At 39.8% G+C, this 18,779-nt stretch overlaps 1 protein-coding gene and 1 long non-coding RNA gene across 6 annotated transcripts in view; both read left to right on the top strand.

Annotated features, from left to right (window-relative positions):
* The window catches only part of LINC02866 (long intergenic non-protein coding RNA 2866), a 69,001-nt gene that overhangs the window by 48,297 nt on the left and 1,925 nt on the right, over positions 1–18,779 (top strand). For 2 of the 5 annotated variants that reach the window (NR_186440.1, NR_186441.1), the window contains 2 exons: positions 9,096–9,193; positions 10,341–10,380. This is a non-coding gene — a long non-coding RNA (long intergenic non-protein coding RNA 2866). Of the gene's footprint in view, positions 1–8,056; positions 8,310–9,095; positions 9,194–10,273; positions 10,469–12,871; positions 13,216–18,779 lie in introns of all 5 variants that reach the window. The other 3 variants (NR_186439.1, NR_186438.1, NR_186442.1) reach the window with 3 other exon arrangements.
* TCIM (transcriptional and immune response regulator) lies at positions 1,116–2,944 on the top strand. Its single transcript, NM_020130.5, has one exon. It carries the CDS (start codon positions 1,167–1,169, stop codon positions 1,485–1,487), a length of 321 nt encoding a protein of 106 aa, NP_064515.2. The 5' UTR covers positions 1,116–1,166; the 3' UTR covers positions 1,488–2,944.

Genomic DNA, 18,779 nt, shown 5'->3' on the forward strand with positions numbered 1-18,779 from the left:
AGTAAGTGAATGAATGAATTAAAATATAAGGAGAGTCTCTAACTTAATTTCCTAGTGAGGTACCTTCCCCACGGTGTCTCCCTTTGCGCATTTTCTAGATCTTACTTGACTAGATAAAAAGAAAAACGAAAAGACCTGTCCTGCTTTCTTAAAGGACTAGAAAGCGGACCAGGCGTAAGATCCACAAAGAGAATCTCCAGGACCCTTTGAAGCTCACATTTAGCATATGACAACTCCATAGGTCAGTGAGGACACTGGCTGGCTTGAATATTGTGGAAGACAGGAAGAACACATTTATATGCTTCCAAAGAAGTTATTGCTCTATGTCTGGGTAATGCCAAAATAAATTTGAAAACAAAAGATCACCTCGTTCATTTTGGGCACTGTGCACGTAAAACACTTGATTAACTTTTCCTGCTGGCTTTTTTGATAGCTATTGTTGTGGATGTATACACAAGCCTAAGGAGATAGCCTCTACTATTCATATTATTACTACACCCAAATTACAATGGTCTTCAGTGACACTTAGCACTTGTACACAATCTCTGAAAAGTCACCGTTTCAAGCTGTGTCATGTCAGCGTTTTGTATGTAAAATCCCATCCTAGAATTGATCACACCCCAAATTATTATCCTTGATTGCTCAGCTTTCTCTCAGTAGCTCTGGAGTTGCCCCTGATATGGATGTCCAAAGGGCACTGATGTGGACTGCCAAATGTTTGCAGTGCACTTTAATTACTTCTCTGCGAACGAAAGCTTTCCTGTAGTTAGCAGAACCCCTTGTTCTAACTGTCGTTTGGGAAGATTTGAGAGTCTAAGCAACCTCGTTTATGTCTTATCTTTGCATTTTCCTGTATTCAGCTATTTTCTTAAAGGAAGGCCCAGGTCTGTATTATCCTACTGCCACATAGGAAGTAAAATGAGTACTCACAGCCTTGCGCCTAATCACTGAACACAGCTTTTAGTAATGTTTTACACAAGAACAGGATATTGGCAACTCAACTGTTAAGCCTTTCTGTGATTATTCTTCCTTGAGATCACTCTGATGTCACCAGTGTAATTTGAGCCTGGAGCTTTTGTTCACACTTTAAATAGCAGTCCCAGAATGATTTCACTACAGACTCTCTGGAAAGCCTGGGAGCTGAATTCCGGAAGATCCCCACATCGATGAAAGCAAAGCGAAGCCACCAAGCCGTCATCATGTCCACGTCGCTACGAGTCAGCCCATCCATCCATGGCTACCACTTCGACACAGCCTCTCGTAAGAAAGCCGTGGGCAACATCTTTGAAAACACAGACCAAGAATCACTAGAAAGGCTCTTCAGAAACTCTGGAGACAAGAAAGCAGAGGAGAGAGCCAAGATCATTTTTGCCATAGATCAAGATGTGGAGGAGAAAACGCGTGCCCTGATGGCCTTGAAGAAGAGGACAAAAGACAAGCTTTTCCAGTTTCTGAAACTGCGGAAATATTCCATCAAAGTTCACTGAAGAGAAGAGGATGGATAAGGACGTTATCCAAGAATGGACATTCAAAGACCAAGTGAGTTTGTGAGATTCTAACAGATGCAGCATTTTGCTGCTACCTTACAAGCTTCTCTTCTGTCAGGACTCCAGAGGCTGGAAAGGGACCGGGACTGGAAAGGGACCAGGACTGAACAGACTGGTTACAAAGACTCCAAACAATTTCATGCCCTGTGCTGTTACAGAGGAGAACAAAATGCTTTCAGCAAGGATTTGAAAACTCTTCCGTCCCTGCAGGAAAGGATTGATGCTGATAGAAGAGCCTGGACAGATGTAATGAGAACTAAAGAAAACAGATGGCTGGAGATGACATTTATCCAGGGTCACTTTGTCAGGCCCTAGGACTTAAATCGAAGTTGAACTTTTTTTTTTTTTTTTAACCAAATAGATAGGGGAAGGGAGGAGGGAGAGGGAGGACAGGGAGAGAAAATACCATGCATAAATTGTTTACTGAATTTTTATATCTGAGTGTTCAAAATATTTCCAAGCCTGAGTATTGTCTATTGGTATAGATTTTTAGAAATCAATAATTGATTATTTATTTGCACTTATTACAATGCCTGAAAAAGTGCACCACATGGATGTTAAGTAGAAATTCAAGAAAGTAAGATGTCTTCAGCAACTCAGTAAAACCTTACGCCACCTTTTGGTTTGTAAAAGGTTTTTTATACATTTCAAACAGGTTGCACAAAAGTTAAAATAATGGGGTCTTTTATAAATCCAAAGTACTGTGAAAACATTTTACATATTTTTTAAATCTTCTGACTAATGCTAAAACGTAATCTAATTAAATTTCATACAGTTACTGCAGTAAGCATTAGGAAGTGAATATGATATACAAAATAGTTTATAAAGACTCTATAGTTTCTATAATTTATTTTACTGGCAAATGTCATGCAACAATAATAAATTATTGTAAACTTTGTGGCTTTTGGTCTGTGATGCTTGGTCTCAAAGGAAAAAATAAGATGGTAAATGTTGATATTTACAAACTTTTCTAAAGATGTGTCTCTAACAATAAAAGTTAATTTTAGAGTAGTTTTATATTAATTACCAAACTTTTTCAAAACAAATTCTTACGTCAAATATCTGGGAAGTTTCTCTGTCCCAATCTTAAAATATAAAATATAGATATAGAAGTTCATAGATTGACTCCTTGGCATTTCTATTTATGTATCCATTAAGGATGAGTTTTAAAAGGCTTTCTCTTCATACTTTTGAAAAATTTCTTCTATGATTACAGTAGCTATGTACATGTGTACATCTATTTTTCCCAAGCAATATGTTTTGGGTTTAGAGTCTGAGTGATGACCAAGATTCTGTGTGTTACTACTGTTTGTTTAATAGGAACAAATATAGAAATAATATTATCTCTTTGCTTATTTCCCGTTAAAACTATAATAAAATGTTTCTAGGACAGCATACGTAAATGCCTGCTATGCTTTCCTAACAAAAATGAAATTTTTCCACAAGTTAAGCATTTTAGAAACACCTAAAGTGTTTTTCAAAATGCTGATCACAGTAAGTCAAAACAAGTGAATTACCTCACATCTGCTGGGAGGGTTACAAGTCAGGATTATAAATACTATGTTTTTAAAAAGAAAATCAAATGGCAAATTCTATTTTCAAATAGTAATTTACTCGTTCACTGAAGATAATGCAAAGCACTTTATTAAAAATGAGTTCTTTCCAAGAGAGCATTCCGGAAGATAACACATTAATATGCAAAATTGTGTGTGTGTGTGTGTGTGTGTGTGTGTGTGCATTTTTCTAAGAGGAATATTGATAATTTTCACGAGATTTGTAGAGACAGCTATAACTCCAAAAAAAGTTATAAACAGAAAAAGGGTTTGCGGAGTAGCAGGAGAATTGGAGGAAGCCTAACCCAGGCTGGGGACATACTAGACAATTCCATAGAAATTTTCCCTGTTTCATTTTCACTGTGCTGTGTTACGGGAGTATGAAAGAGAAGGCTGTAAAGAGGCCCTCGGCTCCATAACCCTACTTTCCCATCCTTATGAACTGAGCTTTCTTAATGTTCACTGCGTGTGCTAGAAATAACTTCCTTCTCCTGATAGGGCCCATCAGTGAAAATCTTTATTTTCTATTCAAAAATTGAAGCACACTTGGATGCTAAATGTAGTTCAAGAGTTAAGTGTATTATACATACTCATAACTATTTACTCTGCCACTGTTGTTTTCAATAGGGTACAAAGTATATCTTCTCCTCTTTTCACATTAGCATGTATTAAGTTGTTTTCTTGCAGTATATTACGTTATTTTCTGATTTCAAGGCTGTAACATGGGAGACAAATTAAAAAGCAATTTGGATGCACTCCACAATGGTATGGAGAATAATAACACATCCAGTAGATTATCACAAACGTGTCATCTTTACCATTCATGGAGAACAAAAGTTGGAATCAATTTAATTGCATAAGGATGATTTTTAGCTTCATAATACATTCATTACTTAATGTGAGGTGAAAATAAACATCAGTAGAACAGGGAGGATTGGTTCAGTTTAGAAATTTATGGCACAAGGATAAACAAATATATCTCAGGACATCTCACTGTAATTGAAGAAATGAAAGCAGCAAAGATTAAATAGCTCGTTAATCATATTTGTATCATGAGATCACAGTAATAACTTTCACTGAGTGTTTACTCTCAGTCAGACAATTTTCTAAGTGTTTTTTTTGTGTATTACTAATACATCACTTAATTAGTGCCATGACATAAATGCTAAGGGCATGTGCGTGTGTAATATAGTAATAAAACTGAAGCACAGAGAGGTGCAGTAACTTGGTCAATGACACGCAGCTAATAACTCCAGAAATCAAATCCAGGAACTCTGGCCTTCATTCCCAGCCACTAGACTATACCGGTTCTTTAGGAGAAACCAAGCTTCTCTTTTTCTTTTAAGTAACGATACTTCTATGTTAGTCAGTCATGAAGACAGGAAGGCCTGGCCTCTGAAGCATCACTTTTATCTGACCTGGGTATGTTTGTCTATTTATTTGTTACACGTGCTACATGGGGAAAGCGTCTTAGTTTAATAGTTTTAATTGTATCAAGGATGTGCTTAGATACAGGCTTTCAAGCCTGCAGTTAAAATAACACTTGTATTAGCATCCTGGAACACAAGGCCACACGTAAGCTTTGGGTCTTAGTTTGTTCATTGAAGGAACTCAGAAACCATGGATTCAATATTTTATTCACTCAGTTCATCCCCTGGCCCACAGCAAAGGGGGATTTGTCCAGCAGATAGGATTTTCTGAGAAAGGGGTCCAGGGTGTATGGTTGACTATATTTTTCTCATCATCGGAGGGTAACCAGGGTACGCAATTGACATTCCCTTAGAAAGTTTCATCTGCTAGTAAACTAATAATGAAGCCATGGCCTGAGGATTGCATGTTTTTTCAGAGTATTTAGTTGACCTTTCTATACTCCACATGAGGGTTTCTCAGAACAGCCTGTATGGATTCCCAGCAGAACAGATGTGGGGGGCAGGGCAGCATTTGTATCTTACCCATTCAACAAAAATACAGTAAGCACCCATATGTGGGAGCCTCCATGGCCAGAATGGATCCTGGTTCTCCATATCAGAAGAACAGGAAAGGTTTTTAAAAGGGGTATCACACGGTGAGAAGTGTGATGGGAGTTTAGACAGAATGCTCTGGAAGCATAAGGCAGGAATTATGTGTGTGTGTGTGTGCGCGCACGCGCGTGTGTTTGTGTTTGTGTGTGCGTGTGTGCTTGTGCATGTGTGTGTGTGCTTGTGTGTGTCTGTGTCTGTATGTCTGCGTGTTTGGGGAGTAGCAGGAGAATTGGAGGAGGCCTAATCCAGTTGGAGGAGACCCTAGCAAATTCCACAGAGAATTTTCCCTGTTTTAAAGTAGGAGTTGGGGGAGTAGAGAGAAAAATTTTTATTTCAGCCTATGCCTATAGTATTTGCCAAGACAAGGAGGCAGGAAAGAGTATTTGAAAATCTCCAGGCAGTTCAGTCTGACTAGGGGCCTAAGCATTCCCAGCTAATAATTAGGAAGGCAGCCAGGGCCGGGTGCCGTGGCTCACTCCTGTAAGCCCAACACTTTGGGAGGCCGAGGCAGGCAGATCACTTGCGGTCAAGAGTTCCAGACCAGCCTGGCCAACATGGTGAAACGCTGTCTCTACTAAAAAATACAAAAATTAGCAGGGTGTGGTGGTGCGTGCCCGTAATCCCAGCTACTTGAGAGGCTGAGGCGTGAGAATCACTTGAACCTGGGAGGCGGAGGTTGCAGTGAGCCCAGATCACCCCACTGTACTCCAGCTTGGGCTGCAGAGCGAGACTCCATCTTGAAAAAAAGAAAGGCAGCTGGGTTTTAAATGACAAGTGTAAGTATTAATTTTATATATTCTGGAGGTAATAGAGAAACATTAAAAGTAACATTTACTGTCTAGCTACTGTGTATTGGGTCCTAGGAAAAGATACGGTTAATAGCTTGAAAAATAATCCACCATCTAGCAGTTGAACTTGGTCAGATTCTGCAGAACTCTGTAGCTTCACACTGAATGAAAAGCTATAGAGGACCTTTGCAGTTCAATAACAGTGGGCAGCAATGTGGCAGCTGAAGATAAAACAGAAGTAAAAGATTATGAAGAAAAGCATTGTGAGGCCCGATTGTGGAAACAGCAAACTAATATATTGCCCAATTAAATATTTAAGAAATTGTGACTACACCTGATCCTTATAATGAGTCTTATTATTTAACAAGTATTATAAATAAATGGTTATAAGCTCTTTTTTTTTGTCTTGAAAAACTCTTCTGCAAACAGTTTCCAGATATTTTAAGTGATTATCATGGGTAATGCAAATGTGTTCTATTTCAATGTCTATACACATTGACAGTGGATATGGTTCAGCAAAGTACTGGCAAAACTATGTTACAGAGCTTTGGAAATAAGCATCCTGTGCCAGTAAGATTTAGCAGTGTTGTTGTCGTTGTTGTTGTTTAAATTAAAAGTGGATGAGTAATCAGAAGACTTTTAGTGTAGCTGCTTTCTCCCCTCTGTACTCCTTACACACAAGCATGCACACACACATACACACACATGTGCACACAGACACATGCACACACATGTGCACGCACACAGTACAGACACATAATCCTACTAGAAGCATATCAGCTTTTTTCCCTGAGCTTTTGTTTCCTCATCTGTGGACAATAGCATCGTGTTGAGCAAACAACCCCAGACTGAGCCTGGAATTCTGGGGTTTTTCCCGACCCTGCCTTAGACAAATTCCTTTTTTATCTCTGGGTTTCATCTGTAAGAAAAAAAACAGCTAGACCAGACGGATGATGTCTGTGACCTTTATCAGCTCTTATATTCTACATCAATGGGAAATAGCAACTGTGCCACCTTACGTGATAGGATTTTTTTCTGGACCAGTTGGTATTCCATATATGATAAGAATTTCTCTTAAGTATGATAAAGGCCTAGTTTAAAAGTTTTCATCTTTAGCCAATGGTTGCTGAAGGCACAATGTGAGGAAAATCAGTTTTTGTATGTATATCTCTGCTTTTTAATAGCCTGCCTCCGTTCTGGTTGGTTGGTGCCTGTGCCAGGGCTGGCTGGCTGGCAATATTTTGACTATCTCTTCCATAGCCAAGCAATGACAGAGTCACTGAGACAATCTCCACTGTTGGTGAGAATTGCATTCATATGTAAAGTTTTCAAAATAGAGATTCTTGGTCCCAAACTCTCCAGGCATTGTTTTTAGGACTAGGTATTTGTACAAAGCTCTACAGTCAGCTATAAAGAACATGAGATATATGGAACCATTTCTTATGTTACATTGGCTCTTCTGTTGGTAGCACTTCATAATATAAAGACCAAGAAAGAGGGTTTGATTTCATGGCATTAGTTAGAATTTGTTTTACCATATTAATTCTGTCATTAATTGAAAATGATACTGATAGGGTTTGGCTCAGTGTCCCCTCCCAAATCTCCTCTTGAATTGTAATCCCCACAGGTTGAGGGAGGGACCTGGTGGAAGGTGATTGGATCATGGAGACAGTTTCCCCAATGCTGTTCTTGTGATAGTGAGAGAGTTTTCATGAGAGCTGATGGTTTAAAAGTGGCAGTTTCCCCTGACCTCCCTCTCTCCTGCCACCATGTAAGACGTGCCTTGCTTCCCTTTCACCTTCCGCCATGATTGCAAGTTTCCTGAGGCCCCCCCCAGCCATGTGGAACTGTGAGTCAATTAAACCTCTTTTTTTATAAATTACCTAGTCTCAGGTAGTATCTTTATAATAGCGTAAAAACAGACTAATACAGATACCCTCCAAAAATAAATATATTTTGAAGAGAATAATTACAGTATGTATTTATGTTAATTAATTCATTCTGGGTTTTTTCTTTCTTGAATTTCGGTCTGATATTTATCTACCTTGATACATGTATATTTGACCAAAAAGAAATCTTCTGTTTCTTACCACTACCTATCCTTTAAATTTTTTTGCAATTTGTCTATGTTTATTATTTATGCCCAGGTTTTATCATCTGAAAGATTCCAGAGAAGCCCAGTGATCCTGAAGGGTACTGGCAGCCACAGTATCTGAAATGCTGTGTCTGAGGACCATCTTCCCCTGACATTGCAGAATACCTAGGACAGAGCAACTGTTTCCAGGCCTACTCTTATCACAGTCTCCTTGGGGACTTTTAAAAATCCAGGCCTTTGGACTTAATGATTCAGAGTTTCTGGGGCTGGACACCTGCTAGCTCCGTGCTTCAGTCACTCCCCAGGTGATTTTGCTGCTCAGTCATATTGAGAAGCACTGACCTAGATTAAAATCACAAACTGTGCATGGTGTGAGGACACGGCTCATTTCAGTTCATCCATGTATCCCCAGGCATATTGCAGGCCTCAATACCTTTCGGACCGAACAACTGCAGCAAAATGTGACTAGGACTTTATTGTGGAATACTTTATTCCTACTATCTCTAATTCAAATAATACCATCATTTTGATTTTGCTCTAAATTTTATTTGTTTTAAGAAATCCTACCAACTCACAATGATCACATCATTATCTAACTCCCATCAGGCTCCCATAAAGCATACAGTTGCAGCAATGAAAACACATTTTTCCAAAGAATGTAAGGGCTGTCTCCCCCTAAATATATTTACCACTTGCCTGCTATTATGGAGATTCATTTCTTAGTCCAGAGAAGTTTGTCTTTTCAAAAGTAAGAATTAGGCTGGGCGTGATGACTCACGCCTGTAATCCCAGCGCTTTGGGAGGCCGAGGCAGGAGGATCTCTTGAGCTCACGAGTTCAAGACCAGCAAGGGCAACATGACAAAACCCTGCCTACAAAAAAATACAAACATGGTGAGGCTGAGGTGGGAGGATTCCTCGAGCCTAGGCAGTCGAGGCTGCAGTGAGCTGTGATTGCACCGCTGCACTCCAGCCTGGGCAACAGAGTGAGACCCTGTCAAAAAAAAAAAAAAGAATGAGTAGCACTTATCACTAGCAGTCACTTCTATAAACTAGAATATTAGCATTTAACAAAGCACTTCCTTCCTAACAGCAAATATCTTCCACTGAGATCGTGTGGTTTTAATCATACAAGGAGAGTGGCAGAAGAACAGAAAGATTGAAACCAAGGACAGAGAACACCTGAAATTGGTAAGGAAGAAAACAACCAAAGGTAGTATTTCACTAAGAAAAACATCTTAATTTTTCCTAGCCCTGGTCTTGGCTGTTACATAGTGGGATAGCTCGATGTGCATACAGCGTGGTTGGCAGTAGAAAGATCAATAGAGGAGTTTATAGGGTTTACGAAGACCTGGATTCTAATCCTGCCTCAGCTATTTATGAGGTATGTGTAAATTTTTAGTAAATTACTTAATGTCTCATAACCTCACTTTAACATTTATAAAATAGGGACAATAATACCTTCTGTATTAGTTTACTAAGGCTTCTGTAACAAGGTACCGCCAACTGGGTGGCTTAAACAACAGAAACTTACCTCTTCACAGTTCTGGAGGGGGAAAGTCTGAGATCAAGCTGTCAACTGGGTTGGTTTCTTCTTGGCCATCTTCTCCCTGTGTCTTACATGGTCTTCCCTCTGTGTGTGTCCATATCCTAATCTCCTCTTCTTATAAGGACATTAGTTATATTGAATTAGGGCCCACTTTAAATACTTTAGTCTAACTTACCAACCTCTTTCAAGGCCCTGTCTCTAAATGCAGTTGCATTCTGAAGTACTGGGGATTAAGACCGCAACACGTAAATTTTGGTTGGGGAAACAGAGTTCAGCTCATAACATCTTTGTATTTCTTTCTCTTGCTTGTTGTAAGCATAACATAAGGCAACATATGTGAAAACACCCACAAGTTAAGTATGATATCTGTGAAGGTAAGGTCCTTGGGGACCAGGACAACACTTTGCTCATGGTTGAATTCTACAAAGCTTCTTGCACAGGCTCTGGCGTGGGGTGGGTTCCTCATAAGTGTTTTCTGAACATGAACACACAAATATCCCTTAAAAATGAGGTATTTGTTTATTAACCTCTGAAGTCAACATCTGTACCCTTTTTGTCTCTTAAGCATCTCCAAGGAGGGCTAAGTCAACAGTGTTCCATTAGCATTAAATAGCTGAACCTGGGGATGAACCACAGTTCATGCTGAAAGAGCCATGTCGAAATGGCATTGTGCAATGGTGCATTTCTGCCACTAAAAACTTTGTTTGCTTTTCATTATACAGGAATGGCTTCAAATGTTCAGTGGAAGTGAACAAGTTCTTGTATTGTTTTCTCCTATTCTCCTTCCAGCTTCAGGGTCATATGTCACAGCGCTGGGCATTTCATTTGGGTGAGTGAAAGGAGGGAAGGGAGCAACGCTGGGAAGGTTTAAAATCTCCAAGTGATATACGAGGAAAAAGGCTGTGCTCATCACAAAAGTAATTCTATCTATCTTACCTTATATAGTAAGAATTTCAGCATGAATAGAATGAGTTTAGAGGGCTTCATAATCTGTGCTCAAGAAGTGTGGGAATCTTGGTGGAATAGAGCCCTGCACGATGTTGTTGGAGATCAAATGCCATTGGCTACTATCTAATTTCAATTTGAGAAGAAAATTACTAAATGTATATCATATCAACTCTGAAGACCCTATTACTTTGACACAGAAAAATAACTTCATAAAATCAATTGACTAAAATAAATTAGCCAAGCAAGGGTGGGATACCTTGTGGCCAAAGTAACAATCTGAATATCTGGTTTTTAACTTTTCATTGTTAATGATCACATGATCGCGCTGAGTAGACATAAGCCAGTGTTGTCATTTCATTCTACATATATTTGGAAGATGAAGATACCTACATCCTCACCTTGTTTACAGGATCAAAGAGGCCTGGGATTCTTCAATGATTATCTAGCCTGGCATGTGGACTCTCTGTCATCCTTGAGGGACGTCAAGACCAGGATTCTGTATATATTGGATAGATTTCATATGTATTTCAGTTACTATTCCTTTATACCTTTAAAAAAATTTAAATTGATATAAGAAAGTGATTAAATTTTTCTCTTTCAATTTTAGGGGCTCATTTTTGCTGTTAGAGAGGTTTGTAAAAATTCAACACAAATAAGACAGAGCTGGTTACTTGGGCAGGACAAGTGCATGCCAGAGGCATAACCACTTAAAACTCTGCTCTTCAGCTAAGAAACACCAGAAATTCAATACTCTAGGCACCATGGTTGAGAGATGGGAAGACTTACTTATGCCAACTAAACTCTCAGCCTGCAATATGAACAAGGACCAGGCTTGGTGGCTCACACTTGTAACCTCAATACTTTGGGAGGCCAAAGTGGGAGGATTTCTTGAGCCTAGGAGTTTAAGGCCATCCCGGGTAACATAGCAAGACTTCATCTCTACAAAAAATTTTATAATTAGCTGAGTGTGGTGCCATGTGCCTGTGGTCCCAGCTACTTGGGGGCCTGGCTGAGGTGGGAGGATTGCTTGAGCCCAGGAATTTGAGGCTGCAGTGAGCCAGGACCATGCCACTGCACTCCAGCCTGGGTGACAGAGTGAGACCCTGTCTCAAAACATAATTAATACATAAATAAATTAATAAACAGATAATGTAGGACCATTAATTTATTCATCCATGGGAAAAATTTAAGTGCCAAGGAGGAGGAAAAATTATAAGTGAAAGCAAAGCAAGATCAAGAGTCTTGAAGGCAATTTCTCCCTGGTTTTGGCAAGGTTTGAAGGATTAGCTTCACAGCAGAGACCTCTTAGCTACTGACCACTACAACATTTACCTTTTGCTGCATAACAAGCTGCCCCAGTGCTTAGCAACTTAAAATGACAAGCATTCAATTTAACTCATGATTCTGTGGGTCAGCTTGGGTTCTTCTGGCCTGGGCCAACTCAGCTCTTGTCTGCTGAGCTCTCTCAGGCATCCGTGGTCAGTTGGTAGCTGGGTGATATAGGATGACTTCACTCACCTGTCCGATTGGCAGGTCGTTGGCCACGGCATCTTGACTCTCTTCCACCATTTTTTGCAATCTGCCATATTAGCACTTAGGGGCTTTCATCATAACAGTGCTGGATAAGTATTTGTCAAATTCTATCTTTCTCTTTGCTCTGTTTGTAGACACCATGCTCACCATCTTCTTTCTTTGTGACATTATCTTTTCTGGAAGAGGGTGCACTATAAATGACCACATTTTACCTTATTCATCAGAGTCACCCTCCAGGCCTTCTTCCCTGAACCGAGATTCAGATTAGTTCATGAAACTCAGTCACTCATTTAGAAATATATTTTTATTGACTCCCATGGCTAACAAATTTGATTCACCAAACTCAGTCACTCATTCAGAAATACTGTTTACTCACTCCCATCACTAACTAATTTTTTCTATAATGTGTGAATGTTACCAATGTAATATTCAGAGGATATTCACTGTGGTTTTTCTGTAATTTCTTGATGGTGCAGAGATGGCAGAGACATCTCTCTTATCCTCAGGTACCCATGGCAGTGCCAAAGCAGTTGAAGGGCATGAGCAGATTTCTGAAAAATCATAACTGCCGTAAACCACCCTTTCTTAGTGCCAGCTTCCTTATGAAATATATAGATGCATACCACTGAATATCTGAGCTTGTTCCTCTCGTTAACCTCACTTTGTGGAAAGGTTTTTAAATCAACTGCTAAAAATGCCTGTTCTTTTCTCTGGACAGTGGACATGGAGAGACATGAGCTGAGGGAGACAGACTGACTCAGGGAAAAGAATTAATGGAAGCACATGGCTCCCGCGGGCAGGAAATGCTTTGATAGACCTTTTCCTCTTTTTGTTACCAGGAGGACCTTGACAATAGACTCCACCTTGGAGCAGCTGCTCTGTCCCCCGTAGGATGATCACAGCACATTTTCCTTGTCAGACTTGGAGTCTGCACCAGGGAGTGCTCAGGAAGGGACCAGTACAATGTTGGGGATCTGCCCTTGAGCCTCCAAGCTGTGCGATGGGTGGAGACGTCACCCCAATACACTCACAAATCCTTTTGGCACACGCTTCAGGAAGACCATCTGCTTTCGTTGTTCCTCTGACCTTTTGTTAGCACCCACCCTAAATTGGAAATAAATTGCCAGAAGAAATCTGAAGCCTAAAGCAGTTTTAGACCCTGTTGTCAAAGCAAGTCAAATTAGTAAGTGTTGGTTTAGCACCTAACATGTATCCCAAATTGTGCTAGATGTTGGCAGTGGAAGGAATATTTTTTCAATGTCTAAATAGCTTCAGGACTATATAGGATCTTGAATAATTTAATTTAATCTTTTCAAAATTTCTACAAGGCAAGTATTACTATATGCATCTGATAGATCAGGAAACTGAAGCTCTGGAGGTTCACCAACTTTTCTGGTGCCAGTCTAACTTCGTAAGATAGGAGAGTATAAAGTCAGACTTCTATCTCGATTTCATATATGATTTTATGTCAGCTCTGATGTATTCTCAAGTCTGACGCTTAACTGCTTTTTTTCCCGTAGTCTTATATACCATGTCTAATAGGCTCTATGAAACATTGGCAAAGAAGAGACCTGGTTCTAGCCCCATTCTGATAGGTGACATGGGATAAGGCACTGAAAATTCTGGGTTTCATCTTCTTCTGGAACATAAGAGACTAAATGAGATGACAGACCTTCTAATTCCTAAATTTATAACTATGTTACAAAATGTGGTATGGGCTCCACATTCATTAAGATGGCAAGTAAAAAAAATGGAAAAGAAGTATTGAAGAGAAGGTGGAGAAATTAGATCCATTGTGCACTGCTGGCAAGATTGTAAAATGGCACACCCATTGTGGAAAATAGTTCAGCAGCTCCTCAAAACATGAAGCGTAGAATTGTCACAGAAATCCTGTAATTCCACTTCTGGTAATATATAAAAAAAAATGAAATTAGGAACATGAGTAGATACACCTGTGTTCATAGCAGCATTATTTACAATAGTCTAAATGTGAGAACAACACCCATGTTCATCAACACATGAATGGATAAACAAAAAATGGTATATACATACAATGGAATATGATCCATCCTTAAAAAGGAAGAGAATTCTAACACAAACTACAACATGGGTCAACCTTGAAGACATTATTGCAAAGTGAAATAAGTCAATCATAAAAGAACAAATACTGTATGATTCCACTTATATGAGATACCTAGAGTAGCCAAATTCATAGAGGCTGGGCTCAGGAGAGGAGAAATTAGGGGTTAATGTTTAGTGGGTGCAGCATTTCAGTTTGGGAAAAGAAAAGAGCTCTGGAGTTAGATGATAGTTTCTCAGCATTTAAATGTACTTTATGCCCCTAAACTATTTACCTAAATGTAGTTGAAGTGGTAAATAAAGCTATAATTTAAAAAAGGAAGTTAAAAAAATGTGGTTTGAATTTCAGTAACAAAACACAATAATTCAAAAAAGAATTCACTTTTTTTTTAGAAATGTTCACATCATTCAATTTCCAAATTATTTAGTGACCTTTAAAATATTGCAGATTTACAGGCTTACAGGAGGACTAAGATTACACTCATCTGCATTATAAGCCACAGTGAAAAGGATGAGAAGTTATCCTGGCAAAAGATGGAGAAAGGAGCATTTTAAAGAGGGGAACTAGTTTAAAACAAGATTCTATTTTGGAAAAAGCATAACATGTTCGATAAAATTAGAGCAATTTTCTGGAGCAATGTTGCTTAAACTCAGAGAGCAGGAGAAAGAATAGCATGAGCTGGAAATGGAGATAGGCAGGGCCAAAGCACTTGAGGCTGGGTTAGAGTTTACATTGTGTTATAGGTAATGCTAATAGAGCCATTGTAGACTTTCAAGCTAGAGAATATCAATATTTTTATTCGTGCTTTTAAAAGGTCAAGCTGGCAGCATTTTGGGGAAGAACCAGAGGGTAGAGAGCATAACATGCTTTAGGCAGCTACTGTAGTTGTCTAGATTAGAGCATATGAAGAAGAGATGGAAAGTAGTTGAGTGTCAGAGGTAATTAGGGAGAAAGCATCACCAGAATTTGAAGATGCATTGGCTTCATCCTCTGCATTATGATTTCCCAATTAATCATTTCCCCCCGGGGTCATAGTCACCTTCACTGGGCATCTTCCACTAGAGTGCTGCAATAGCTGAAGGAGTTCACTGCCTTCTGCTCTTACCCTTCAGTGGGTCTTTTATATTACAGCTAGATTTAGCTTTCTAAAATGCCACTCTACACACATAACTTCCCTGCTCAGCACTTTCAAAGTCTACCCATTGCCTACAGTATTAAGTCCAGCTTCCTTAGCTGGGCATTCAAGGCCCATTGTAACCTGGTCTCTCTAAATCTACCTAGCACATTGCTTTAACATGGACTGGCCAGCCACAGTGGCTCATGCCTGTAATCCCAGCACTTTCCCAAACTACCTCCCAGGCCGAGGTAGGTGGGTCACCTGAGCCCAGGAGTTCAAGGCCAGCATGGGCAACGTGGCAAAACCCTGTCTCTACAAAAATACAAAAATTAGCTGGGTGTGGTGGTGTGCACCTGTAGTCCCAGCTACTCGGGAGGCTAAGGTGGGAGGATCAAGATCGCTTGAGCCCGGGAGGTTGAGGCTGGAGTGAGCATGATTACGCCCTCACTGCAAAAGAGCAAGACCCTGTCGCAAAAGCACAAATTAAATAAATAAATAAATGTGGACTCAGTTAATAAAAAAAAAAGTTTCTTCAGCATCTATCAGAGGCCAGATTAACTAACTTGTTACAAAGCATTCCTGCTGCTTCATTTTCTTTTTCTGTCTTATTTATATTTGATTTTTAGAAATATATAGAATATACCATACATATAAAGGAGAAATATAAAATGCAGGTGCAGGTTAAAGACTACTGTAAAAAACACTACCTAGCTTAAGACTAGACGCTTTTTAATATATTTGAAGATCTGTGTGCTCTGATCCCTCTTCCCACACTCCCCTAAACATTATCTTGGATTTTATATTTATTCCCATTCTATCTTCCTGGAATGCCCTTGCCCTTCTTTTTTTTTTTTTTTTTTTTTTTTTTTTGAGACAGAGTTTCGCTCTTTTTGCCCAGGCTGGAGTGCAGTGGCGCGGTCTCGGCTCACTGCACCCTCTGCCTCCCAGGTTCAACCCATTCTCCTGCCTCAGCCTCCAGAGTAACTGGGACTACAGGCGCATGCCACCACACCTGGCTAATTTTTGTATTTTTAATAGAGACGGGGTTTCATCATGTTGGCCAAGATGTTCTGGATCTCCTGACCTTGTGATCCACCTGCCTTGGCCTCCCAAAGTGCTGGGATTACAGGCGTAAGCCACCGCTCCCAGCTGCCGTTGCCCTTCTTGTTGCTTTAATACCATTCTTCCTCTGACCTGGCCCAGAATTTAGAAAGATTTTTCTGAAGATTTTAGCTCTTACTAAGTACAGCTAGTGTTGTCTCCATCACCCATGGGCACTGGCATCTTCTGTCATTAATGCTAGTAATCTTTTTATGTGTCAGTGGAAGCAGAAATCTCATTTTCTATTGAGAAGGTGCTTGGTATGCAGAGCTTGCTGCTGCTGATGGGATCAATACTCATGTGCTTTATTCAGAGTGGTCAGATGGTCTGAGGGACCAGGGTGCTGAGAGGTGGTGGCAGGGAGACATTCTCAGGAACCAGACGGGGAAGGTAGAAAGTGCCTGGCATGCCATGAATAGTTGTTGAACTAGTGAATTAATGAATGATTGACAACTCTTTCTGGTCTACAATACTGAACTATAAGCAACGTGAGGATGGGCTACTGTGTGACTCAGTGATTCATAGTCACAACTCAGTTCAGTTGAGTTATTTCTTGAGTACCAGGTTCAAGAGATGCAACGACAAATAGGTCTGTTTTAAAATATCAGCAGTGGGGTCAGGGGAAAGTGGGAGGAGGGAGGAAGGCAGACACATAGATCAATCATTGTAACAGGGCAGCAAGCACAACCAAAGAAAAATACGATCATCAATCAGAGGAGGAAGCGGTTAATGTTTCCAGGAGAAAGTATTGATTGCCTAGAGTTTACTCCCACCCAGTCTGAAGAATCCTACTTGGATTCCACTGCAGCATTTTCTCCCTCTGATTCTCCAGCCTCCTCCTTGCACCCTGCCTGGGATTCTGTGCTCCAACCACATTGGCCCAGGTTACCATCTTCCAACAGGCCCCGACTTTTCATCCTCTGTGTTCTACCCAGTGCGTCTCAAATTTTAAAGCATCTACAAACCACCTGGGGATCTTGCTAAAATGCAAATTCTGACTTGGTCTGGGAAGTGTGCCCTGAGGCCTGAGGATCTGCATTTCCAACAAGCTCCCAGGTGATGCCAAAGCTGCTGCTCTGCAAACCAAAGCTTAGAACTGCAAGGCTACTCTCTCCGCCATGAAATACTGTTCTCTTCCCACACTCTTACTCAAATCCTCTACATTTCTATGAGCTAAGTCAAATGTCTTCCCTGTGATGACATCTCCTCAGTTTCAGGATGGGGCATCAGTGCCGTTTTTCTCTCCACTGCCTGGCAAATCTTTCTCTCCAAGTCTTTTTCCTCAATGAACTGAAGGCTCCTTGAGGGAAGGACTTGGTCACGTTCATCCAAACCCCTGGATGGTGTCTGTTATAGAGTTGGGCCTTAAATACTTGCTCCATTGAATTTGAATTGAACTTAAAATATTATGGCAGTCCTGGTAAAGTGGCTTGCACCTGCAATCCCAGCATTTTGGAAGTCTAAGGTGGGTGGATCACCTGAGGTCAGGAGTTCAAGACCAGCCTGGCCAACATGGCAAAACCCTGTCTCTACTAAAAATACAAAAATTAACTGGGCATGGTGGCAGACGCCTGTAATCCAAGTTACTCAGGAAGCTGAGGCAGGAGAATCACTTGAACCCAAGAGGTGGAGGTTGCAGTGAGCCGAGATCGTGCCATTGCACTCTAGCCTGGGCAACAAGAGTGAAACTCCATCTCAAAAAAAAAAAAAAACCATATATATATATATATATATATATATATATATATATATATATATAGCATATGGATTAAATGTGTATTTGTGTGGTTATATAAGTGTGTTTGTGCATGTGTCCTATTCAATGTACTATGTACTATACAATATACTATACATATAATGTATATATACAATGTACTATATAATGACTAGATCAGAATACATAGACAAACCAGGTCATTTTAGCATTGTGTCACCAAGAATTATAATAAAATATAAATTAACATAGATGATAATGATCAGGGTGGCAGAAATAACCTCCAATATAAATTTGATGAAGGCAAAACACTTTTTTTCTAGTAGGTCACTGGGTCCCCCTGAGTCTAGGCCCGTGTCATGTATGTTGTAATAATCAGTAAATATTTGTGGAATTCTAAATGAATAAAGGGAGAAGGTACTGAACTTTAGTTCTATGAATAAACACAATTGTAACCCCTGGAAAAGGAAGTGGTTAAAGCTATGTTAAGATCTAAGACAAAAACAGAAATAAACAATAATAAAGACAAGCCAAAAAAAATCTGAAAATCTTCCCCTATAGTGAATGCACATTACATTTTTTTTCACTAAGAATATCTTCTTACATGGCAGCAAAACTAAATTGAAGACATTTTTCCATGTGAATTGTTTTTTCCTAAAATATCAAATTGTTGTAGATCAACAAAAACTTTGTTTTTCTTACTATTGAATATCAAAAAAGACCCAGTTAATTGCA

This window comes from Homo sapiens, chromosome 8, assembly GCF_000001405.40.
Source record: "Homo sapiens chromosome 8, GRCh38.p14 Primary Assembly".
Classification (NCBI taxonomy): Eukaryota; Metazoa; Chordata; class Mammalia; order Primates; family Hominidae; genus Homo; species Homo sapiens.